Below are 27,846 nucleotides of genomic sequence, written 5' to 3' on the forward strand. Positions count from 1 at the left end.
TACTTGGGAGGCTGAGGCAGGGGAATCGCTTGAACCCGGGAGGCAGAGGTTGCAGTGAGCTGAGATTGCACCACTGCACTCCAGCCTGGTGACAGAGCAAGACTCCGTCTCAAAAAAAAATCTCAAAATGAAAAAGAAACTAATGAAGAAAAGGGATAAAACTGCAAATTTATTAGTTCTCATGTCTTCATTTGAAAAGTATTTACTCACTACTTTTTAAAAATTGTTTTGAGACAGGGTCTCACTCCGTCACCCAGGCTGGAGTGCAGTGGCACAATCATGACTCACTGCAGCCTCACCCTTCCAGACTCAACCGATCATCCTGCTTCAGCTTCCCAAGTAGCTGGGCCTACAGGCGCATGTGCTACCATGTTGGGCTATTTTTTTATTTTTATTTTTAGTATAGATGCAGTCTCATTATGTTACCCAGGCTAGTCTCAAACTCCTGGGCTCAAGCAATCCGCCTACCTCGGCCTTCCAAAGTGCTGGGATTACAGGTGTGAGCCACCATGCCCAGCAACTCACTACAAGTTTAGATTGTCCCATTTGACAATAAAACTTATGAAAAAACTATCTTTGAACATGTACCAAATGGATGCAATTATTTTATTAACAAATTAATAATTTTGAAATATTAATGGAATCACTTTACACAAAAATTAAGATCTATAAAGTAGTTAATATATGCCTTTACACATAAGGCACACATTTATGCAAAGGTATCTTTCTTTTGAAATTATATTAATAAAAATGTTTTTACACAATTATCTAAAATTAAGTATTTTAAAAGCTAGAGCCAAAATATAGAAGGAAAACATGAAAGGCCTTCCACAAATATCAAGCCACAGATATCAAAGTCTCACCCTAATGGACGCTTTATTACAAAAAACTTTGTTGATAGCAAGCCATGTTGGCAAATCCAACATATTCTGGAGTACTTCTTCATCCAACTCCAAATTCTTCAGTTCACCTTCTCCTTTAAGGGTACTTAGATTTATCTTGTCAGGAGATAAATTTTTGGTAAATCTGAAAGAGAATACACATTGACATTTATTTATGTGTCAGTTACTATACTCCAGAGTCATTTTTTCAAATATACAGAGAACTAAAAATATAATAGGAGTGGACACAACATAATGTCCATCAACGACAAATGGATAAAGAAAATGTGGTACATATACACGATGGAGTATTATTCAGCCATAAAAAAGAATGAGATCCTGTCATTTGCAACAACATGGATGGAACTGGAGGACACTACAGTTAAGTGAAACAAACCAGGCACAGAAAGACAAACTTTACACACTCTCGTTCATTTGTGGGAGCTAAAAATTAAAACAATTGAATACATGGAGATCAAGAGTAGAAATGATGGTCACCAGAGGCTGGAAAGGGTAGTGGTGGGGAGCAGGGGTGGGAATGGGTAGTGGGTACAAAAATACAATTAGGTAGAATGAATACAATACTGATATGGTTTGGTTCTGTGTCCCCACCCAAATCTCACCTCTAATTGTAATCCCCACATGTCAGGGGAAGGAGCTGGTGGGAGGTGACTGGATCATGGGGGTAGTTTCTCATGATAGTTAGGGAGTGAGTTCTCACAAGATCTGATGATTTAAAAGTGTCTGGCAGTTTTCCTCTCTCTCTCTCTCTCTCTCTCTCTCTCTCTCTCTCTCTCTCTCTCTCTCTCTCCTGCCACCATGTAAAACATGCCTTGCTTCACCATCACCTTCCACCATGATTGTGAGTTTCCTGAGGCCTCCCCAGCCATGCAGAAGTGTAAGCCAATTAAACTTCTTTCTTCAGTCTCAGGTATGTCTTCATAGCAGTATAAAAACGGACTAAGACAGATATAGTATTCAACAGCACAACAAAGTGACTACAGTCAACAATAATTTATTGTACGTTTTAAAGTAATTGTGTAACTGGAATGTCTGTAACACAAAGAAATGATAAAGGCAGCCAGGTGCGTGGCTCACACCTATAATCCCAGCATTTTAGGAGTCTGAGGAGGGCGGATCACTTGAGGGCAGGAGTTCAAGACCAGCCTGGCCAACATGGTGAAACCTGGTCTCTACTAAAAATACAAAAATATTAGCTGGGCATGTTGGCGCATGCCTGTAGTCCCAGCTATTCAGGAGGCTGAGGTGGGAGTTTCGCTTCAGTCCAGGAGGTGGAGAATGCAGTGAGCTGAGATTGTGCCACTGCACTCCAGCCTGGGTGACACAGTGAGACCCTGTCTCAGAAAAAAAAAAAAAAAAAGATTGGAAATAGTTAATGTAAGAGTGAGCATTTTCCAAGGGTTTACTGTGTTCCAAGCTCTTGGCATACATGCGTGACTATTTCATTTAGTTCCCATGATAACCTATTAGGGTCTATACTAATTTTAACCCAATTTTTGAATAAGTAAACCTAAGGAGAAACTTGAACTTACTTGCCTAATATCACAACTAACAATGAAAATACATTACACATCTACTTTGAAATACATTCATATACATTACTTTATCTTCCAAACAACCCTAAAAAATAAAAATTACTAACTATGCCCAACAAATAATTTTTCAAAAGTGAAATTACTGAAAAAAACTAAACTACTGGCTAACAAGAGTTAGTCTTTACTTTTTTTGGAAATTAAATATAAAGCAACATTATATACTGGGTTATTCACATGCCCTACTTGTCAACAAGAATACCAATCAATAAACTCATGTTTCTCCACTGACTCCAAACCAGAATTTGAGCCAGATTCTATCTGAATTCATATCTTCTCACAGGATGTCAACTGAGAAATACAACAATCATTTAACACATGTATTTGACCAATGATGCTGAGCTGTATTACACTTGCTTCTGATCACGCTTGATTCAATACCACGACGCTTTCTCATAGAATGCCATTCCTAACCATAGATAACAAACAAAAAACCCTGCCACTTCCCTGAGGCAGAATATTAGAGCCAGAAGACAACACTCAATAAGTATTTATTGAGAATTCATTATGCAGACACACATACTGGGAAGCAGTACACTTGAGGTCCCTGCCCTTGTGGAGTTTTCAGTTTAGTTGGTGAGACGGATCAAATGGCACAACTAAGAGAGAATATAGCAGGAGTTCTAATCCAGAGCTTCTCTGAAACAGGGACTTTTGAGCTGGTATCTAAAGGAAGAGAAGTTAACTAGGCAAGGAGGAAAAGGGGGTAGGGAAAGAAAGTATTCCAAGCAGAGGAATAAAATGCATAAAGGTTCTAAGACAGGAGGGAGATGATATAAAGTGGAATTGAAAAAATATCAGAAATACTGTTATCTGTAATATTTATAGGGAAGGAAGGATGGACAACAGACTAATCTGAGTAACTCAAACAGAATATTTGACTATATATTCTAACATTTGACTATATATCCTTAGTCTTGGGCATGGAGGAATATGGGGATGGAGGTGAAGCATGGTTAGTGAAGAAATCAGGCAACACCTTGATTGGGTATGTACAAGAATGTTCATTTCAAGGATATCTACAAGAAAAAAAGAGTGAAAACAATCTAAACGTCCCAAGAGGGATACCCCATCTAATTATAATACACTATATTATTAATACATACATATCAAGTAATATATGTTGCCAGTCTTATAAAGAAATGTTTATATTATAATGTTTGATGAAAATTCAAGTCACAAAATTATGTGCTATAATTTCAAGTATGTAAAAAATGCATCATAAAATCCCATGACTACCTATGGCTGGTGGGGTTTTAGATTTTTTTTTTTTTTTTTTTTTTTTTTGCTTTTTTGAGACACGGTCTCGCTCTGTTGTCCAGGGTGGAGTGCAGTGGTGTGATCATGGCTCATTTCAACCACGACCGCCTGGACTCAGGTGATCCCACCTCAGCTTTCCAAGTAGCTGGGACCACCACACCCAGCTAATTAGTTTATTTATTTAATTTACTTTGAGACAGGGTCTCACCCTGTTGCCCAGGCTAGAGTGCAGTGGTTTGATTTTGGCTCACTGCAACCTCCACCTCCAAAGCAGTTGGGACCATGGGCACATGCCACCATGCTCAGCTAGTTTTTTGTTTTTTTTTGTTTGTTTGTTTTGTTTTGTTTTGAGACAGTCTTGCTCTGTCACCCAGGATGGAGTGCAGTGGCACAATCTCAGCTCATTGCAACCTCTGCCTTCTGGGTTCAAGCGATTCTCCTGCCTCAACCTCCTGAGAAGCTGGGATGACAGGCACGCACCACCACGCCCAGCTAATTTTTGTATTTTTAGTAGAGACGGGGTTTCACCATGTTGGTCAGGCTGGTCTCTAACTCCCGACCTTGTGATCCATCCACCTCGGCCTCCCAAAGTGCTGGCTGGGATTACAGGCATGAGCCACCGTGCCCAGCCCCAGCTAGTTATTTTTTAAAGACAGGGACTCACTATGTTGCTCAGGCTGATATCGAATCCCTGGGGTCAAGCAATCCTCCTGCCTCAGCCTCCCAAAGTGCTGGGATTACAGGTGTGAACCACCACACCCAGCCTAGATTTACTTCTCCTTATTTATACTTCTCTGTATAAGTATTCTATAACGAGCATGTACCACTTTTATAAAGACAAAAGTTCAAGGGAAACCAAAAAAGCCTGGCCTGGCAAGAGCAAAAGTGAAAAATGAGGAGGATTAAAATATATGTAATTTAGCCAGGAGCAGTGGCTCATGCTTGAAATCTCAGCAGTTTGAGAGGCCAAGGCAAGAAGATCACTTGAGCCCAAGAGTTTGAGACCAGCCTGGGCTGGTCTATATATTAGTGAGTGACTATATTAGTGAGACCCTATGTCTACAAAAAATTTAAAAAAGAATTAGCCAGGCATAGTGGAACACTCCTGTAGTCCCAGTTACTGAGGGGACTGAGCTGGGAGGATTGCTTGAGCCTGGGAGGTCAAGGCTGCAGTGATCCATAATTTTGCCACTGCACTCCAGCCTGGGTGACAGAGCCTTTGTCTCAAAGACAAAACAAAAAACAAAAATAATAGCTAACAACAGCAATAAAATTTCCAAGCAAATGAAAAAAGTAGACTTGATTTAGATTATACATTTTACAATCAATACACCATTATTAGGGTCTAAATTATGTGCACTGCACTAAGTAAACATTTAAGGGCAAAACAAAACAAAACAAAAAGGTCCATATAATCAAAGATTTATAATTTGGTTAAGGGAACAGAGAATAAATGCACAAAAAGCCAAGAATCTCAGGAGGCTGAGGCAGGAGAATTGCCTGAACCCGGGAGGCGGAGGTGGCAGTGAGCCGAGATTGCACCACTGCACTCCAGCCTGGTGACAGAGCAAGACTCCATCTCAAAAAAAAAAAAAAAAAAAGAATCTCAGCTTGCTAGGCACAGGAGCTCATGCCTGTAATCCCAGCACTCTGGGAGGCTGAGGCAAGTGGATTGCTTGAGCCCAGGAGTTCAAGACTAGCCTGGGTAACATGACAAAACCCCATCTCTACAAAAAATACAAAACTTAGCCAGGCATGGTAGCATGCATCTGTAGTCCCAGCTACCCATGAGGCTAAGGTGGGGGGATCACCTGGGCCCAGGAGGTCGAGGTTGCAGTGAACCATGATAGCACCACTGCACTCCAGCCTGGATGACAGAGTAAGACCCTGTCACACACACAAAAAGAATCTCATCTCGGCCGGGTGCGGTGGCTCATGCCTGTAATACCAGCACTTTGGGAGGCTGAGGTGGCTGGATCACCTGAGGTCAGGAGTTCGAGACCATCCTGGCCAACGTGGCGAAACCTCGTCCCTACTAAAAATACAGAAAAATTAGCTGGGTGTGGATCCCAGCTACTCTGGAGGCTGAGACAGGAGAATCACTTGAACCCAGGAGGCAGAGGTTGCAGTGAGCTGAGATTGCCCCACTGCACTCCAGCCTGGGAGACAGAGTAAGACTCTGTGTAAAAAAAAAATCTCATCTCAACAAGAGGTAAAATGCTATCTACTGCTTACTATTTAACCTATATCTCAGATTCCTCATCTGTAACATGGGGATAATAGTACCTGCCTCACAGAGTTGTTTTAAGGATTAACTCAGAACATGTAAAATGCTAGTTATGATCCCCAATATGAGTAATAACTCAGTAAGTGTTCACTATTATTAAGACTAAGATATAGGCCAGACAGGTTGGCTCAGGCCTCTAATCCCAGCACTTTGGGAGGCCAAGGTAGGAAGATAACTTGAGGCCAAGAGTTTGACACTAGTCTGGGCAACATAGAGACACCCTGTCTCAGAAAAAAAAAAAAGAGAAAAACAATTCCCATTATACAATATTTCATGGTATAACATGAAAAACTAGATGTTACAGGGAATTTAACAATGCATGTTAGATTGTTTAATTAATAAACTTAAAAAGTAGGCACTCTTGATCTGCAGGTATTAGATGGGCTTCAAGGAGTCTACAATATTTTATCAGACTTTCAAAGGGGGTTTTTGGACACAGAATATGCTAAGAACCACTGCCTTAAAGAAAATGATTAATTTTAGTCACCTAGAAAGTAAATTATTTCAGCACTGTAATTCAATATTTAATGGTTATAATTCAATTATTTAGCTTGTTATTAATAAATACCTCTTGGAGTGGCTACCCAGCTAACAGTGATTCATTCTTCTCTGGGAAAAACTGTATATACAGGGGAAAGATGCACATCTAAGATTTTTTTAACATACTTCCTTGGTTATAGTGATTGATCTACAGGTTGACATGGCATCTAGGCTATTCGATCATATTCTTTCCTCCAGAAATTTGAAACAAATAGACTACTTTGGGATCAAACTTATAAATTAATAATGGAGAGTGACTGAGAAACACATAGCCACAACGTTTAGAACTGAAAGGTACTGAAAAGATTATTCTCCACCATTTTCCATTCTTCTCAACTGGACCCAATTCAAATCCTTAATATGAACCAGTAATTGACATCACTAGCTAGTATCCCAAGACTGTGTGTCCCTACAAGGATGAAATTCTCATTATCATATGAAGAGTTTTATAAGAACCAGTATGTGTATGCAAGCAAATGAATTTAACAGCTTCTGTTTGATTTTATTCAAAACAATACTTTCAGATGGGAAAATACCTTAAAGCCACATTTTAAAGTCATACAAGAGAAGATGTTTTCAGAAAAACTTGCCCAAATCTGACAGACTGCCAAGTACTTTGGCTTGGATCACTAAGTTATTATCTGTAACTAATTAAATCCTTTCACAGCCCATGGGCCTCATCATGCAACCATAAAGATCCCTTCAATCAAAACTAAGAAACAGATCAAGGCTTTTCTACAGAAACTCCTATTTCCTCATTTTCTCTTTTAATCACCTACACTCCTGTCACTCCAGGTGTACCTCTTTTAATACAACACTTCATTATTTGAGGTACTTGATTATCTCCAGGCTCACAATGTGAATTAGTTAAGGGATTTTCAAATTTTTTTACATAACCTAAGGCAAGAAATACACTATACATAACAATTTCGTAAGGATACAAAAAAAAGGTGCAAAATTTCATGAAGCAGTATTTTAATCGTCTGATATGTTCTATTACAGTCTTTTAAAATAGTGATCGGCCAGGCGCAGTAGCTCACGCCTGTAATCTCAGCACTTCGGAAGGCCAAGGTGGGTGGATCATCTGAGGTCAGCAATTCGAGACCAGCCTGTCCAACACGCGAAACCCCGTCTCCACTAAAAATACCAAACATTAGCCAGATGTGGTGGCAGGCGCCTGTAATCCCAGCTACTTGGGAGGCTGAGGCAGAAGAATCATTTGAGCTTGGAAAGCAGAGGTTGCAGTGAGCTGAGATCACACCACCACACTCCAGCCTAGGCGACAGGGTGAAACTCTGTCTCAAAAAATAAAATAGTGATCATAACTAAAATGATTTCACAAGCCAAGGTATGAACTAAAGTTTAAAACAATAAGTAAGTATAGGCCGGGCGTCGTGGCTCACACTTGGAATCCCAGCAATTCGGGAGGCCAAAGCCAGGTGGATCACTTTAGCTCAGGAGTTTCAGGCAAGCCTGGGCAACATAGTGAGACCTTGTCTCTACAAAAAATTTTTAAATTAGCTAGGCACGGTGGCACACGCCTGTAGCTACCTGGGAGACTGAGGTAGGAAGATCCCTCAAGCCCGGGAGATTGAGGCTGCAGAGCTGTGATCGTGCCACTGTACTCCAGCCTTGGTGACAGAGTGAGATCCTGTCTGGGAAAAAAAAACAAAAAAACAAAAAAAACACACAAGTATAATACATCTTGACCAAGTGTTTATTCTAGAAATGAGGGCTGGTTTAAAACCAAAAACCAACTAATGCAATTCACCACATTAAAAGTAAAATCTAGGCCAGGCGAGGTGGCTCACGCCTGTAATCCCAGCACTTTAAGGCAGGCGGATCACCTAAGGTCAGGAGTTCAAGACCAGCCTGGCCAACATGATGAAATCCCATCTCTACTAAAAATACAAAAAAAGTTAGCTGGGTGTGGTGGTGCACACCTGCAATCCCAGTTACTCAGGAGGCTGAGGCAGGGGAATCACTCGAACCCAGGAGGCAGAGGTTGCAGTGAGCCGAGATGGTGCCAATGTACTCCAGCCCGGGTGACAGAATGAGACTGTCTCAAAAAAAAAAAAAAAAGTAAAATCTAGCCAGACACAGTGGCTCACGGCTGTAATCCTGACACTTTGGGAAGCTGACGTGGGAGGATGGCTTGAGCCCAGAAGTAGTGAGACCTCATCTGTACAAAAAATTAAAAGTTAGCTAAGCATAGTGGCAGGGGCCCGTAGTCCAAGTTACTCAGAAGGCTGAGGTGAGAGGACTATTTGAGCCCAGGAGGTGGAGTTGGTGCCTAGATCATACCACCACACTCCAGCCTGGGCAACAGAGCAAGATCCTGTCTCAAAAAAAAAAAAAAAAAAGAAAAGAAAAAAAAAGGTAAAATTACATCATGTTCTCAATAGAGCCCAAAAAAGCATTTTACAAAAGTCAACACCCATTCATGAAAAAATAACTCTCAACAAGACAGGAACAGAAGAGAACTTCCCCAAAACTCTAAAGGACATCTACAAAAACTCTACAGCTAAAATTACGTGTAATGAGAAAAGACTAAAATTGCTTTTCCCCTAAGACAGGGACAAGGCAAGGGTGTTTGCTCTCATCACTTTTTTCCAACAATGTATTGAAGGTTCTAGCCAACACAATAAGGTAAGAAAAATATATAAAAGGCATCTGGTTTTGAAAAGTAGTAAAATTATTTTTTCCCAGATGACATGATCACCTGTGTAGAAAATCATACAGAATTATTAAAGACATTGCCAGAACTAAAAAATGAGTGTAGCAATGTTGCAGGATATAAGGCCAATATAAAAATAAATCAGTTGAAGGGACAGAGGAGCCGTAAGAAAGAATTACCAATAGCCAAAGCTGAAAGAATCTGAGCAACAAAATAAATAAAACAGTACTGGATAATAACACAAACTATAAAACAAAAATACAGAAGTCTACACTAATATAAACATATGATTAAATAAATAAATAACTTGGAGAAAATAGAGAAATCTTCCTGGCAGAAAAGTTCCAAAAAAATTACATAGATATTCTAGTCTCAGGGAGGTGGAGCATAACTCCTCATTCTTTTAGTGAGGGCTGCACATAGTACTTCCTTCCAAAATGTTCAGTAAGAAAATGGGGAAAAGAATAACTTTACAGTGGAGAACTTGGCAAATGCTACATCAGCCAGGTTATCAACGTCAACATCGGCAATAAGACATGTTGATAATATGTACCCCTGATTTGACATAATAAAAAGAGCTCTTAACTAACCTCTGTGGTCTCCTTGCCAAAAACCCCTAATGCCAATCTAATCCTAAGAAAAAGGGTAGACATACACTAGTGACTTCAGAATTACCTGCAGAACTTTTTATTTATTTATTTTGAGGCAGTCTCGTTCTGTCGCCCAGGCTGGAGGGCAGTGGTGTGATCACAGCTCACTGCAGCCTTGAACTCCTGGGCTCAAGTGATCCTCCCCTGCCTCGACCTCCTAAGATCCTCCCCTGCCTCCACCTCCCCTGCCTCCACCTTGACCTCCTCAACATGCCCAGCACCACCACGTCCAGCTCATTTTTAATTTTTTTGTAGAGATGGGGTCTCGCTGTGTTGCCCAGGCTGGTCTCAAACTCCTGGGCTCAAGCAATCCTCCTGCTGTGGCCTCCCAAAGTGCTGGGATTACAGGCATGAGCCACCGCACCTGACCTTTGGGGTGCTTTTTAAAACTACTCCATTTCAAGCCCATTCCCAGAGATTCTGGTGCTCTTGATATGGAGCAGGGCCTAGAAATCTCCATTTTAGGAAGTTATCTGGGGGACTCATTTATATGCATCAGATTTAAAATCACAGATTTATCGTGGAGGAGATACAAAGAATGCCTTTTTTATACTACTCTTATCAATCCTGGACTTATGTGTATCGATTTTATAGAGCAACCAAAGATATCTTGACACAGTTGAAATTGGCATTTCTCTTGGTCCCAGAAAAAAAAATGAGTAATTTTATATAAATTTTTGTATTTTTTTTAAAGGAAAACAGCAGACAAACCCCAATTGAAGGACACTGTACAAAACACGTGGCCAGGTCTCCTCAAAACTTTCAAGGTTGGCTGGGCACGGTGGCTTATGCCTCTCCAAAAAAATAAAATATTAGCCAGGTGTAGTGGTGCATGCCTGTAGTTCTAGCTACTCAGGAGGCTGAGGCAGGAGGACTGCTTAAGCCCAGGAGGTTGAGGCTGCAGTGAGTCATAATCACACTACTGCACTCCAGTCTGGGAGAGTGAGTGAGACCGTCTCAAAACAAAACAAAACAAAACAAAACAAAAAACTCTCAAGGTCTTCAAAAACAAGGAACGTCTGAGAAATGGGCACAACCAAGAGGAGCCTAAAAAGACATGATGACTAAATGTAATATATTTGGAATGGGACCATGGAATAGAAAAAGGACATTGGGTAAAAGAAATACTAAGGAAATTTGAACAGAGTATGGCCTATAATAATTATCAACATTAGTTAATTGTGATGAACCATATGAATGTAAAATGCTAATAGTAAGAGAGACTAAATGTTGGGTATGAGAATTCTGCATTATCTTCACAACCTTTCTATAAATCCATAACTATTCTAAGATTAAAAGCTTATTTTTAAAAAATCAGAGCTGATTATGGAAAGTTTATTCATTTTATTGTATGTAAATTTCACTCAATAAAAATTATAATAAAGAAATCAGCTGGGTGTTGCGGTTCATGCCTGTAACTCCAGCACTGTGGGAGGCCAAGGCGAGCAGATCACAACGTCAGGAGTTCAAAGACCAGCCTGGCCAACATGGTAAAACTCTGTCTTTACTAAAAATACAAAAATTAGCTGGGCTTAGTGGCATGCACCTGTAGTCCCAGCTACTCGGGAGGCTGAGGCAGGAGAATTGCTTGAACTCAGGAGGCGGAGGTTGCAGTGAGCCGAGATCGCGCCACTGCACTCCAGCCTGGGCGACAGAGCCAGACTCTGTCTCAAAAATGAAATAAAATAAAAAAATAAATAAATAAATTATGTTTCTATATGTAGCAACAATCAGAAACTGAATATTTTAAACTACCATTAACATTAGCATAAGAAATATGAAATTTTTAGGGATAAATTTGTCAAAAGGTGTGCAAGACCTAGAAACTGAAAACTACAAAATACTGTTGCAAGAAATTGAAGAAGATCTAAATAAATGAAGAAATAAAACATATTAGTGGATTAAACTCAATACTGTTAAAATGTCATCAATTCTCTCAAAAAGACTTACAGATTCAAGGCAACCCTAAGCAAAACCCAAGCAGGCTTCTTTTTTGAGAGAAATGACATACTGATTCTAAAATTTTCATGAAAATGTAGAAGACCTAGAATATCCAAAATAACTCTGAAAAAGATGAACAAAGTTGGAAACATTATACTGCCAATTTCAAGACTTATCTAAAAGCTACAGTAATCGAGGCAGTCTGATAATGGTGGGTGTAAATAAATAATAAATGCAACAAAATACAGAGTCCAGAAAAAGACCCAAATTCATGGTTAGCTAATTTCCAACAAAGGTGCAAAAACAAGTCAATGAAAATAATATTTTTAAGAAGTGGTACCAGAATGATGTTACAGCCATATGCAAAAAAAACAAAAAACAAAAAAATCCTTGACCTTTACCTCACCCCATAAACAAAAATTAACTCTAAATTATCACAGACCTAAATCTAAGAACTACAACTTAAAAACTCCTGAAGAAAATATTAGTAACCTTGAGTTTGGTAGATTTAACGCAACAAAAAATGCACAAATCATAGGAGAAAAAAATAAGTTAGTGGATCAAAATTAAAACCTCTGCCCTTTGAAAGACACTGTAACTACAGGGCAACCATAGACTGGGAAAAAATATTTCCAAAGCATATATTTGAAAAAAGACTTGTACCTACAATTTTTTTTAAATTCTTACAACTTGAAAGTAAGACAATTCACTAACAGGCAAAAGGCCTGGGCGTGGTGCCTCACGCCTGTAATCCCAGCACTTCGGGAGGCCTAGGCGGGCGGATCACCTGAGATAAGGAGTTTGAGACCAGCATGGCCAAAATGGCAAAACCTCATTTCTACTAAAAATACAAAAATTAGCTGAGCGTGAGACAGGCGCCTGTAATCCCAGCTACTCGGGAGGCTGAGGCAGAATTGCTTGAACCTAGGAGGTGGAGGTTTCAGTGAGCCAAGATCGCACCACTGCACTCCAACCTGGGTGACAGAGCAAGATTCCATCTCAAAAAAGAAAAAAATAAAAATAAAAAATAAAATAGGCAAAAGATTTAAAGGGACCTTGGAACCAAAGAAGACACAGATGGCAGATAGGCACTTGAAAAGATGCCCAACATTAGTCATTAGAAAACTGCAAATTAAAAACCACAGTAAGATACCACTACTTATCCACTAAAATAGCTAAAATTAAAAAGGCTAACTATACTGAGTATTGGTGAAGATATGGAGCAACTGGAACTCTCATATACGTATTTGTGAGAATGTAAAATGAACAAGTTGAAACCACTTTGGAAAGCTGTTTGGAATTTGTTTTTAAAGTGATGCATATACCTAGCATATACCTAACCATTCTACTACTAAGAATTTACTTAAAAGGAATGAAAAGCTTAGGACCTTCATATGAAAACATAGCACATACAATTATGTAAGAGAGAGAGAGAGAGAGAGAAAGGCCTATGTCCTCACGAAGATTTATACACGAATGTTCATAATAGCTTTATTTCTAATAGCTGACAAACGGACACAACCCAAATATCTATCAAAAGGTAAACGGATAAATTGTGGTATATCCACAATAGAATAATCAGCAATAAGAATGTACACATACGATAAAATAGATTAATTGCAAGATAATAATGCTGAGTGAAAGAAGCCAGGAAAAAATGCATATTTATATAAAAATCTAGAAAATGCAAACTAGGCCGGGCACAGTGGCACACGCCTGTAATCCCAGCACTTTGGGAGGTCGAGGTGGGCGGATCACCTGAGGTCAGGAGTTTGAGACCAGCCTGACCAACATGGAGGAACCCTGCCTCTACTAAAAATACAGAATTTTTAGTGGGGTGTGGTAGCACATGCCTGTAATCCCAGCTACTCGGGAGGGTGAGGCAGGAAAATTACTTGAACCTGGGAGGTGGAGGTTGCAGTGAGCTGAGATAGTGCCACTGCATTCCAGCCTGGGCAACAAGAGTGAAACTCCATCTCATGGAAAAAAAAAAAAAAAAAAACAGAAAATGCAAACTAACCTAAGTGATATAAAGTAGATCAGTGGTTGCCCAGGAATGAGGCAGAAGGAGAGAGAGGATTACAAAGGAGCATGAGGAAACTTTTGAGGGTGGTGAATATTCATTTTCTTAATTATGGTAATGGTATTATGATTACATATATGTTAAAATTTCATCAGGCCAGGCATGGTGGCTCAAGCTTGTAATCCCAACACTTTGGGAGGCCAAGGAGGGCGGATCACCTGAGGTCGGGAGTTTGAGACCAGTCTGACCAACATGGTGAAACCCTGTCTCTACTAAAAGTACAAAATTAGCGGGCGTGGTGGCGCCCGCCTATAAGCCCAGCTACTTGGGAAGCTGAGGCAGGAGAATTGCTTGAACCCAGAAGGCGGAGGCTGCGGTGAGCTGAGATCGTGCCACTGCACTCCAGCCTGGGCAACAAGAGCGAAAGTCCGTCTCAAGAAAAAAAAGTCATCAAATTGTACACCTTAAATATGTGCAGTGTATTGCCTATAAATCAGTTATATTTTAATAAAGCTGTTCAAATAAGATATATACATACTATATATATACACACACATATATGTGTATATATAAATATCTTAAAAAATAATGAATTTAGCCAGGCATGGTGGTGCCTGCTTGTAATCCCAGATACTCAGGAGGCTAAGGTGGGATTACTTAAGCCCAGGAGTTCCAGACCAGCCTGAGCAACACAGTGAGACTCCATCTCAAATAATAAAATAAAATAAATGAACTTGTTAACTATTAATAAAATACAATGGAATAAAAATATATAAGGTATTAGAACCATGGCCTTTTGAAAACCACCCCATTGCATCTGCCATCCAATGGAGATATTAGAAGCAATTTTAAGCTTAAAAAAGTGGAGCCATAGGCAGTCCTCATACTACAAAGAATATCAAATAATTTAATCCAACCTCCTCATTTTATAGTAGAGAATATGAAGCCTAGAGAGGTTAAGTCAAATGCTGAAGGTCACACTAAAGTAGAGCCCAGACTATAATCAAACCTGTACAATTTTAGTTTAAGAGGTATTTTAGGATCAGTTACCATTCCATTATCATACTGATAAATTTTCAGTTCAACCATATTTACTGAGCATTTACTAGGCATTGTAGCAATATATGGCAACTCTTACCCTCAAGGAGCTTTCAGTGTAAATTTGTAAGACTTAGCATATATTCCAGGCATAAACATTTTCTTTTTTCATAAATTCTGCCTTTGTAGCTCCTAAGAAAACTAATGGTGTGTCTGTGATCCAATAAAACTTTGTTTCCAAAAACAGGCAGTGAGCCAAAGCAGGCCCTTGAGCCATAGTTTGCTCCCTGCTTTACACAAATCCCACATGTCCCATCCCTGCTGAAAACTCTTCAAGAACCCTCTTCTCTACTACATTTTGGATAAACCCCAAACTCCCCAAAAGCCCTTGCACCATCTCCCTTAGGATCCCTTGCCTTCTCTCCGTCTGTTCCTAGAGAAGGCCAAACTTTCTCCCCTGAGAACAGTTGGACATGCAGCTCCCTGTGCCTGGCATGCTTTTCACCCTCTCATCCTTCTCATCTCTTAGGTTTACCCTAATTCATCACCCCTTCAGAGCAGCTTCTCTCCTCTCTCCTCCCATCCCATGCTCTGCTCGCTTCATCCACTTTGATCTTCCTGGTCTATTAGAATTTGCAATTACTTGCCTTCTTACATGTTTGCCTCTCCCCAACTAGAAGATCAGCTCCAAGAGAGCAGGGATCTTGTCCTCAGTCCCTAGCAGAGTGTCTGAGAGATTAAAGGTATTGTACATTCAACAAATATTAACTGAGGACCTACTATGTGGCAGACACCAATCTGGGTGCTTGGGATGTATGAGAGAACAGACAGACAAAGATCTTTGCCCTATAGGGCTTACTATAGTCAGGGCAGACAGAGCCAAAAACAATTTAAAAAAATGGTATTTTAGAAGGAACTGAGTGTTGTAGTGTATAGGGAAACTCTCTAACGATGTTTTTCCTCTGCTCACACAACAATAATCATCAACACAGAAAAATTCTGTGACCGTGTGCGTGGAGTTTTCTCCCCCACACACCAAGCAGTGGACACCAGCTGTGTGCCCTCTAATTCAGTTCAGACACTGTCTATCTGGAGATGGTATCAGATCCCAAATCCCACAGGCTGAGGGCTCAGTCCCAAGACTGCCCTCCGTCACCCCAGTCCTTGCCCACCAAACCCATTGCAAGTCTGGGCCTCCAGAACTTCTGACGGACAGGCTCTTTGAGTTTGATTAACGTCAAGGCATAAATTTTTTAAACTAAAACCTAAAATATTAATGGAACAAGAATCAAAGTATGCTCCCAATGGTTTAAACTGCCTTTTTTTTTTTAAATGCATTCTCAATTTACACAGAGTTTGTCTGGCTTGGTTATTTTTGTAATTATGCGTGTAATGAAAAAAAATCAATCTCATATAACCAGTTTTTCCAAATAAACATTTAAAGAATGAAAGAATGCAAACTGGCAGCCTGTGAGCTGTCTGCCCACAGATACTATTTGGCCCACACAGTGTTTTTAAAAATCTCAATTTGTTGTTAACCTTTAAAATAGGATAGGCATTGTGGCTCATGCCTGTACCCACAACACTTTGGAAGGCCGAAGACAGAAAGACTGCTTGAAGCTAGGAGTTCAAGATCAGCCTGGGAAACATAGCAAGACCCCATCTCTACGAGAATTTTTTTTTTTTTTTTAATTAGCCAAGCATGGTGGTGCATGCCTGTAGACCTAGCTACTTCAGAGGCTGAGACAGGAGGATCACTTGAGCCAAGAAGTTTGAGGCTGCATTTAAGTGTGCACTATGATAACACCATGCACTCCAGTCTGGGAGAGAGAGTGAGACCTTGTCTCTCAAATAAATAAATAAAAACCATTAAAAATGGGTAGACCTAGGCAGGGCACAGTGGCTCACGCCTGTAATCCCAGCACTAAGGGAGGCTGAGGCAAGGAGGACTGCTTGACACCAGGAGTTTGAGACCAGCCTGGGCAACACAGAGATCCTGTCTCTACAAAATATTAAAAAAAATAAAAATTAGCTAGGCATGGTGGCTCACGCCTGTGATCCCAGCACTCTGGGAGGCTGAGGAGGGTAGATCACGAGCTCAGGAGTTCGAGACCAGCCTGACCAACATTGTGAAACCCCATCTCTACTAAAAACACAAAAAAATTAGCTGGGCGTGATGGCACGCGCCTGTAATCCCAGCTATTCAAGGAGGCTAACACAGGAGAATCACTTTAACCCAGGAGGCAGAGGTTGCAGTGAGCCAAGATTGCTCCACTGCACTCTAGCCTGAGAAACAGAGTGAGACTCCATCTCAAAAAATAATAATAATAAAAATAAAAATTAGCTGGGCATGGTGGCACACACCTGTAGTCCTAGCCACTTGGAAGGCTGAGGCAGAAGGATCGTTTGATCCCAGGAGTTAAAAGTTGCATTGAGTTATGATCACACCACTATACTCCCACCTGGGTGACAGAGTGAGACCCTGCCTTAAAAAAAAAAAATTTTATATATATATATATATATATATATATATATATATATATATATTTATATTTATTTATTAAGGTCCATATATATATATATATGGGTAGACCTTACATTAAAATCTGGGCATTGAGGCCGGGCACAGTGGCTCACGCCTGTAATCCCAGCACTCTGGGAGGCCGAGATGGGCGGATCATCCGAGGTCAGGAGTTCCAGATAAGCCCGGCCAACATGGTGAAACCCCGTCTCTACTAAAAATACAAAAATTAGCCAGACATGGAGGCACACGCCTGTAATTCCAGCTACTCAGGGAGGCTGAAGCAGGAGAATCGCTAGAACCCGGGAGGCAGAGGCTACAGTGAGCCAAGATTGCGCCACTGCACTCCAGCCTGGGTGACAGAGCGACCGGTTTCCATCTCAAAAAAAAAAAAAAAAAAAAATCTGGGCATCAGGCTGGGTATGGTGGCTAACGACTACAATCTCAACACTTTGGGAGGCCCAAGGCAGGAGGATTACCTGAGGGCAAGAGTTTGAGACCAGTCTGGGAAACATAGGGAGACCCCATCTCTAGAAAAAATAAAACATTAGCCGAGCATGGTGGTGTACCTGTGGTCTCAACTACTTGGGAGGGTAAGGCAGAAGGATCACTTACGCCTGGGAGGTCAAGGCTGCAGTGAGCTGTGATCACGCCATAGCACTCCAGCATGGGCAACAGAGTGAGGGGAGCAGGGCAGGGCAGAAAATATGGGCATCCAGATTTTATTGAAATATCAGAAGATCTGACACAACTAGACATATATCCTTCATAGCAAAAACTGAGTGCCTACTATTTGCCAGTCACTCATTAGGCTCTTGGGAAATTTAAACAAATAAGAAATAGTTACTGTTTTTCAAGAACTTCACATTTTATTATTAGAAGCAAGCATATAAATAAATCATTGCAATATGTTATGATCTTACTATGTGCTGGGTACTATGTGATAGGTCATACAATAAAAATGGCAACAGGATAAAATGGAATCACAAGGAAAAGGGTGATGATCAATTCTCTTAACAGTAAAGTAGATATCCAGGTGCAGTGGCTCACGCCTGTAATCCCAACACTTTGGGAGGCTGAGGTGGGAGGATGACTTGAGCCCAGGGGTTTGAGAACAGCCTGGGCAAAAGAGTAAGGCTATCTATTAAAATAAAGAAAATAGTAAAGAAGACTTTGGGAAGGCTTCATAAAAGTAGGCAGCACTCAAGCTACGTTTTTAAACAGTAAGTTTTTGTCAAGTGAATAAGGCAGAGAGAAGGACATTTCAGAGGCGGCAGCAGCAGCACGTTCAAGATTACAGGGTCACACAGTAGACACAGATGTAAGATAAGGCCTCAGGTAGTTTGGAAAGAAACAATATTCCTTGAGAAGCCAACTGAAGCCAGATCATGAAGGACTCTTGTTTTCCAAGCCAACGAATATGGGTTTTAACCTACACATCAATGTTTTTCCCACAGTGCCCCTAAGAAGACTGCTCATGGTTCAACTCAAGTGAGAGGAGAAAAAAAAAAAGAAAGAATATGCCAAAGGAACCACCACCACCCACCATCCAATTACTGACTCAACTAGAGGAGCTCTACTTTTGTCTACTTTATGTAGTAAAGTTCTCTTTTAAAATCTCTTTGGGCACAAAAATTCTACTGTTATAAACAAAATTTTTTATTAAAAAAAAAGCTTAAACAGGAGCCATTAAAAGATTTTTAGCAAGAAATTAAATGTTAAGATTAGCATTTTGGAAACATCTTTCTCTTAACAGCGCCAAGGATGGAATACAGAAGTATGAGACCCAAAGGAGATGAAAATACTCAGTGTTTAGTTGCAACAACTGATGCAATAAATAATTAATGAAATCTGGTGATGAGAGATATTCAAATCTTACTGATATCTACTTTATTCCAAGCAGCCTGCTATGTCCTAGGTTTAGGATAAAGAAGATAAGTTCAATAGTTATTTCAATATAAAGTAATCATGACTGATTAAAACAGGAAGGTAAAGAAGAAAAAGGAATGAATCTTGGTAGGTGATTTGAATAAACACATGGATAGCTGTGGTTAAAACTTGGAATACAATCATAACACTTCACCTTGAATAAGCTAAGCATAAACCAGGCCAAAAAAAAAAAAAGATATGTTTTAAGGAGGTATAATCTAGAAAAAACAAAGGGCTACACTTGTGATTATACTTCACGAGCAAGCGTCTCAGAGGATTTGCTAGAGGTATACACAAAATCAGAACCATCCTTGAAAGCCATTTTAAACAATAAAAGACCTTAACTATTAATATACTAAAGTGAATCTCAAAGGTTTCCACCTGAGGTTAAAGCTTGGCACCTTTCCCTTGGCAATTCTGTTTGAGATCCAGGTTCCCAAATGAAAGCATGGAATCAATGCAGGCAAGAACGTAAAACAATATTTAGGCCACTAGGCCTATACAATTGCTTTAGCATATAGCCAATAAGTTTCTCATTTGTCCATTACTCTTAGGTAAGTATGTAATAAGTTGCACAATTCTACTTGTGGCATTTAATTAACAATTTATTACAAGACTTTTGGAAGTTCAAAGTATTTATGTGGATAAATTTCCCAAGAATTAGAAGTATTCAGTGATATGAGTTTCTAGGTTTTTCATTGAGTCCTAAATTGAAAGAAATTCAGCACCATTTCCAATAACCTGGTTTTATAACATAATTGCTTTCCCTGATAATGAAATTTTTAAAAAGACAGGAGAGGGTAGAAGAGAATGCTGTAAAACCCTTAAATTCTTCAAAAATGAATCCTGGCAGAGCATGCTGGTGCATACCTGTAATCCTAGCACTTTGGGAGGCCTAGGTGGGGGGACTGCTTGAGCCCAGGAGCTCTGAGACCAGCCTGGGCAACATAGTGAGACTTCATCTCTATAAAAATTTAAAAACTCAGCCAGGCATGGGGTACATGCCTGTAGTCCCAGCTACTCTGGTGGCTGAAGCAGGAGGATAACTGGGGACCAGGAGTTTGAGGTTATAATGAGCTGTGACTGCACTACTGCACTCTAGCCTGGGCAACAGAGCAACACCTTTTCCCCCCACCACCCCTACCACTTCAAAAAACAAAAAAAGAATCCCATTTGCACTGCTGTTTGTGAGACTTATTTCAATCTCTTTGATAAAGATAACTATCATTAAATACACAAAATAAATTCTTAAATCCCTCAATGATGAATGAATTATTCAAAACAGCCTCTTTATCAAAGGAGACTTTGTACCTCACTAATTACATTAGACTAAGAAGCCTTACCCATTCATTTAAAAGTAGATCAAATGCTAACTACTATTTCCAAACAGCTGGCAGGAAGTTACAAAACTCTCTTGCAACATCAGGAAGAGATGGTTATAACTTTAAGTATGTTGCCAAACCTTATCTATTAGAAAAGACACTGACTACAGGGCGAGACTCAGTCTCAAAAAAAAGAAAGAGAAGACACTCAGAGAGGAATTACATGAGCCTCTAGCTACATAGTAAAGAAAATGAAATAGGTATCTGACTAAAACAGTAAGAAAATATTCTCAAAGTATCTTTATGCAGGGCATATTAAGTGCTTGCATTTATAGAATGAAAAAAAAAAAAAAGCATGGGGAATAGAAGTATTACCTGAGGGCAGGAAATTCAGAAAAAGGTCCCTATTCCTGGTGAAAGCAAGCAGTCAGTTGCCAGGGTTTCTTAGACTCCTCTGGTACTCATTTGGGTGATTATGCAATTCACAGCACACCAATCTCCACCACAGCCAGCAGGGAACGCTGCAGGGAATGGGTACACAGGGGACACAGAAGGGAGCAAGTTTAAGGGAAGGAAGAGGAAAGGAATGATGATTAAAAAAATTTAGCTGTGGTGCCCTTTGGAAAAAAAAAACAGTTGCATTTCACACTGGATTCACTAAAGGCAAACTGCCTAAATTCTAAGATGAATTAACCATTTAAGATTTTCTTCATTTTCTCTGTCACTGTTACTACTACTCCCCAATTACATTCACATTATCTTTTTAATTTTATATTAAACTGTCAATTAACAAAAATGAGATACTATGTCATAGAAGTTATACAAAAGCTGAACTGTATAATTTACATTAAATGAAATCAATTAAGATAAGCAATCTACAAAGCAAGCAGTCTACACATACAGATTATCAAACTGGTTTAAGTGACAAAACCCCCACTTTTAACTGTAATTCTCATTTCACCGAGAATACTGAGGCATAAAGCTAGCCATAAAAAACAATCCACAAACCAAAGAGATATCCAGCAATAGGCCATATCTATATACTCAAAAATAAATTGGAAAACTATAGTATTCATAGTGGGGGGAGAAAAGCTTTTAATCTAAATTTTCCGGATATGATTCAACTAGTTAAACCTGCCAAAAATGTATTCAGAGCAACCAATTTATGTTCTATGTATTCTATGGAGGCCAAAGTAGTACAAATTTATTTCTCCAGTCAGTTAAAAATGTTTTTGAACAACTACTATGTACTGCAGTCCTGTGGCGGATGCTAAAGATACAACGGTGAACAAGACAAGCAAAGTCCCTGGCTTCTAAAACATTGCCAGGGCGATTCTGCCCTTAAAGAGATGACTATCCACACAATTAACAAAAAACAAGGCATTTGTTTTAATAAAACAAACAGGATATGCTTTAAGACCTAAAGGAGTTTTAAAATGGAGGAGGCCAATGATTAGCCTCATTAAAGCTGCCCATGGAAAATGTACTACTAAAATAAAGCTGAGAGAAGAAGGCCTATTATGAAGAGATACAGACAATCTGGCTGCAGGAATAAGACAACAAAACATGGGTGGAAAAAAAGGAGAAAACTGTAATATTGGAAATTAAAATTGCAGCCAAATTTGGAGGACCTAAAAAATTACCCTTAACTTCTCTGGATATTTGCCTTAAATATTTCCTTTGTATACACGCTCTAGTCCAGGAAAATAGATTTAATAACTATTTTATTACTCTCAAGCTGTCATTTATGTCCTTTTTCTTCCCCCCCTTGGGATGGAGTCTAACTCTGTTGCCCAGGCTAGAGTGCAGTGTGGCACGATCTCGGTTCACTGAAGCCTCCACTTCCTGGTTCAAGTGATTCTCCTGCCTCAGCCTCCTGAGTATCTGGGATTACAGGCATGCGCCACTACACCCAGCTAATTGTTTTGTATTTTTAGCAGAAACGGGGTTTCACCATGTTGGCCAGGCTGGTCTTGAACTCCTGACCTCAAGTGATGCGCCCGCCTTGGCCTCCCAAAGTGCTAGGATTACAGGTGTGACCCACCACACCCGGCCTCATTTCATTATTTCTTTACAAGCTTTTCTGACATTCAGACCACCTCTGTTTCACCGTCTCTCTGTTAAGGTTGCATAGCGTTTTGCTTGTGACTCTCTCATAAGATTCATTATCTTGAATTCTATTTATTCACTCATCTACCAGACTGTTTCCAGAAGACATTCCTATATCTTAATTTTATTTGTATATTTTACAGAACCTTCCTTAAGTACTGGTAGGAATGAACAATCTACCAAAAGAGATAATCAAAATCATACTCAGTAATACCTATATTCTTTAAAAATAAGATAAATCTTACATTTTATGGATGCCCCTCTTTATAGTGCATTTCAGTTATATATAAAGTTGCAGCACAGCAAAAGTAACAAGTTGGGGCTGGGCGCGGTGGCTCATGCCTGTAATCCCAGCACTTTGGGAGGCCAAGGCAGGCGGATCACCTGAGGTCAGGAGTTTGAGACCAGCCTGGTCAAAATGGTGAAACCCTGTCTCTACTAAAACCAAACAAACAAAAATACTGGCTGGGCATGGTGGCAAGCACCTGTAATCCCAGCTACTTGAGAGGCTGAGGCAGGAGAATCATTTTAACCCAGGGGGTGGAGGTTGCAGTGAGCTGAGATCGCTCCATGCCTGGGCAACAAGAATGAAACTCTATCTCAAAAAAATACATACATACATACATACATACATACATATATATATATAGAGAGAGAGAGAGAGGGAGGGAGAGAGAGAGAGAGAGAGAGAGAGAGAGAGAGAGAGAGAGAGAGAGAGAGAAAGAGTTTTTTGCCATATCTTAAAATCACTGAATTTTCTGGTATCATGAAGTTTATTCCCAAATACAAGAGTTTGAGGTTAGCCTGGGCAACATGGCAAAATCCCATCTCTACCAAAAATACAATAATTCACCAGGCAAGGTGGTGCACACCTGTGGTCCCCACTACTCAGGAGGCTGAAGTGGGAGGATTGCTAGAGCCTGGGAAGTTGAGGCTGCAGTGAGCTGTAATCATGCCACTGCACTCCAGCCTGGGTGACAGAGCAAGACCCTGTCTCAAAAAAAAAAAAAATTAATTAATTTAAAGTTTTAAAATATATATATTTTTAATTTATTTAAAAAATTTTTTAAAGATTTACAAATAGACAACAGTAAAGGAAAACATTTGATGCTATACTGGTAGTGGTAAAAAGAAGCCAGATCTCTTTCTTAGTAGTATTTTTGGGTAGAAAAATAGTAAATATGCATAAAGTTCAAATTCAACCTAGTTTATGACTAATATGGAAATTCAAAGTTTATACACAACATTCATCTTGGCTGGGAATAATCTTAAAATAAGTCAATAAACTGTCAATCAAACTATTAGTGAATATAATGTCTGAAAAACCAAACAATAAATTATATCCTGAATCACACTGGCTTCAATTTTATTTGAATAACTTGATTTTAATATAACTACTCGATTTTCACTTATGAAAATAACCAAAAGTCTTTTACTTGTAACTTACATTCAAACTAAACTCCAGCCACTAATACCCACTGTTTTGTTTTGTTTTTGAGGTGGAGTCTCACTGTTGCCCAGGCTGGAGTCCAGGGGCACAATCTCAGCTCACTGCAACCTCCGCCTCCTGGGCTCAAGCAATTCTCCTGCCTCAGCCTCTTGAGTAGCTGGGACTACAGGCATGCGCCACCATGCCCGGCTAATTTTTTGTATTTTTAAGTAGAGATGGGGTTTCACCATATTGGCCAGGCTGGTCTCGAACTCCTGACCTCAGGTGATCTACCCGCCTTGGCCTCCCAAAGTGCTGGGATTACAGGCGTGAACCACCGTGCCCAGCCACACCCACTGTTAAAAAAATTATTTGTCCTAAGCATACAATATGCAGAATTTAAAACACATGTAATTGATAAGAGATCAACTTATTTAAAAAGTGTTTAAACTGCAGTACTAAAGCAAAGTGTAATACTGCAAAAAAGGAAAATTATTCAAAAAAAGAAAAGAAAAAAAGACATTATGTTTTCCCGCTAGAGTCTCAATATGGTTTATTTGTCCCCACCAAAATTCATGTTGAAATCTGATCCCGAATGTGACAGTGTTGGGAGGTGGCGCCTAGTAGGTAGGAAGTGTTTGGGTCATGGGGGCAGATTCTTCATAAATGGCTTGGTATTGTTCTTGCAGTAGTAAGTTCTCACAGAAAATAAAGTAGTTCTCACGTGCGTAGGTTGTTATAAAGCCAAGACATCCCTCAGGCTCTGCCCTCTTTAAGTGTCCACTTCCCCTTACCTTCTCCACTATGTTGTCATGCAGCATAAAAGCCCTATCTGGAAGCCAGCACCATGCCCTTGAACTTCTCAGCCAGTAGAACCACGAGCTAAATAAACCTCTTTTCTTTATAAATAAACCTATTTTTTGGCCGGGTGTGGTGACTCACGCCTGTAATCCCAGCACTTTGGGAGGCCAAGGCAGGTGGATCACTTGAGGCCAGGAGTCTTGAGACCAGCCTAGCCAACACGGTGAAACCCCATCTCTACTAAAAATACAAAAATTAGCCAGGCGTGGTGGCACATGACTGTAATCCCAGCTACTCCGGAGGCTGAGGCATAAGAATTGCTTAAGCCTGAGAGGTGGAGGTTACAGTGAGCTGAGATTGTGCCACTATTCTCCAGCCTGAGCAACAGAGTAAACTCTGTCTCAAAAATAAATAAATAGGCCGGGCGTGGTGGCTCACATCTGTAATCCCAGCACTTTCAGAGGCCAAGGCAGGCAGATCACGAGGTCAGGAGATGGAGACCATCCTGGCTAACACGGTGAAACCCTGTCTCTACAAAAATAAAAAAATTTAGCTGGGGGTGGTGGTGGGTGCCTGTAGTCCCAGCTACTCGGGAGGCTGAGGCAGGAGAATGGCATGAACCCGGGAGGCGGAGCTTGCAGTGAGCCGAGATCACACCACTGCACTCCAGCCTGGGTAACAGAGTGAGACTGTGTCTCAAAAAAATAAATAAATAAATAAACAAATAAAACCTGTCTTTTAAAATAAATTACCCAGCCCCATAATCTTTTATAGCAACATAAAATGGCCTGAGACATCCCCCAACTTTCAAGAAATGCTGAGTCAAAACATTATGTTCCTCTAACTTCAAAGGACCGCAGAGTCAAATGATTCTCAAGTCATAAAAGAATCTCCTAAGGGATACTACAGCAGGATGGTAAAACAAGAGTAGTGTTGAAAACTGGGTAAAAAGAAAAGCAAACTGTTGAGGTGGGGTGGGGGCGAGTAGGAAACACCTTAATAGGCAGCACAGAAAAATCAATGAAAAGGGTACTGGATCAGTGACTTTACCATTCAACACTATCTGTGAGACCTTGGACAAGTCACAAATGTCAATGTTTTAATAATTTCCTTCTCTGAGATAGGAACAAATCCCTTCTGATTCCAGGATTCTAGTATGCTAATATTGCAACATCTCCTAGACCAAGCACCCAACAAGAATCAGTATCCGGTTTTAGTTGGAAATTAATATGAAAGAGAAAGACACCTGCTATATACAGTAGTCCTCCCTTACCCAAGATTTCCCTTTCCACGGTCTCAGTTACCTGTGGTACAGTACGATAGCTTGAGAAAGAGAGAGATCACATTCATATAACTTTTATTACAATATACAGATATTGTTACAATTTTTCTATTACATATTAGTTTTTGTTAATCTCTGACCATGACTAATTTATAAATTAAACTTTACCAGAGGGATGTACATAAAGAAAAAAACACAATATACATATCGTTCAGTACTATCTGCAGTTTCAGGCATCCACTGGGGGTCTTGAAGTGTGCTGCCCATGGAGGAGGACTACTGTAGTGCATGTACTTAAAAGGATAAAAAAAAACAACAATAGCAAAAAATCCACCCCTGAAAATTCAACTCACAATTCGCTTCCCAGTAATTGTTTATTGCATAAGCCAAAGGATAACCACAAACATACTTCCATTGTTGTCAGACTAAAACATGTATAGTCTAAATTAGATCACAAATAAAAGAGAAGACATCTCCAATTAAATATCTAACATTTGGGCTGGGCGCAGTGGCTCAGGCCTGTAATCCCAAGCACTTTGGGAAGCTGAGGCAGGTGGATCACTTGAGGTCAGGAGTTTGAGACCAGCCTGGCCAACATGATAAAACCTCATCTCTACTAAAAATAAAAAATGTAAAAAAAAATTAGCCAAACATGGTGGCGGCTGCCTGTAATTCCAGCCACTCGGGAGGCTGAGGCAGGAGAATCACTTGAACCCAGAAGGCAGGGGTTGCAGTGAGCTGAGATTGTGCCACTGCACTCCAGCCTGGGCAACAGAACGAGACTCTGTCTCAAAAAAAAAAAAAAATCGAACTTTCATCCAACTTAACATATCCAAAACAAACTCCTGATCTTCTCCCATAAGCCTGCTCCTCCTGCAGTCTTCTCCAATTTTCCGATTTAGTTAATAGCAATTCCACCTTTTCCATTGCTTATGTTGCTTATGTCAAAAACTCTGGATGGTCACCCATTACTGCTCTCCTCTCTTCTCTATCAATCCACATCTTACCTGTCGGTCAATCCTGCCTTTACCTTCAAAATACACCTAGAACCTGACTATCACTATCTCAACAACTCCACTGCATCTGCCTTCGTTCAATCCAATTTCTCTCTCACCTAAATAGTTAACATCTCTTAATTGGGTTCCTGTTTCTGCCCTTGTGCTTCTATTATTTAATTCCCACATGGCTGCCAGAGTGATCCTTGGCTCAAGGCATTCCAGTGGCTTCCAATCTCAGAGTAAAAGTCAAAGTCACTACAAGGTCCCACATGATCTGGCCCTTGTTTTCTCTTTGATCGCATCTTCCTCTTCTCACTTTACTCTCTCCACCTATATTGGTGGTCTTCGTATGTTTTCAAAATATCAAACAAGTTCCCAGTTCTGGACCCTTTGCATTTGTTCCCACTATCTCTCTCAGGTCTCTTCTCAAATATTGCTTTCTTTTTTTTCTTTCTTTCTTTTTTTTTTGAGACAGGGTCTCACTCTGCAGGCTGGAGTGTAGTGGTGCTATCACAGTTCACTGCAACCTCTGCCTCCTGGGCTCA

General features: G+C 40.1%; 1 protein-coding gene across 6 annotated transcripts in view; it reads right to left on the reverse strand.

Annotated features, from left to right (window-relative positions):
* BLTP3B (bridge-like lipid transfer protein family member 3B) overlaps positions 1-27,846 on the reverse strand; it is a 105,803-nt gene that overhangs the window by 70,451 nt on the left and 7,506 nt on the right. For 5 of the 6 annotated variants that reach the window (XR_007063059.1, XM_005268739.5, NM_015054.2 and 2 more), the window contains exon 2: positions 864-1,026. Coding sequence is in view for 5 of the 6 variants with exons in the window: in XM_005268739.5 (XP_005268796.1) it covers positions 864-1,026 (163 nt within the window). In the remaining variant the exon portion in view is untranslated. Of the gene's footprint in view, positions 1-863; positions 1,027-21,057; positions 21,204-27,846 lie in introns of all 6 variants that reach the window. The other variant, XM_047428554.1, reaches the window with a different exon arrangement.

This window comes from Homo sapiens, chromosome 12 (assembly GCF_000001405.40).
Source record: "Homo sapiens chromosome 12, GRCh38.p14 Primary Assembly".
Lineage (NCBI taxonomy): Eukaryota > Metazoa > Chordata > Mammalia > Primates > Hominidae > Homo > Homo sapiens.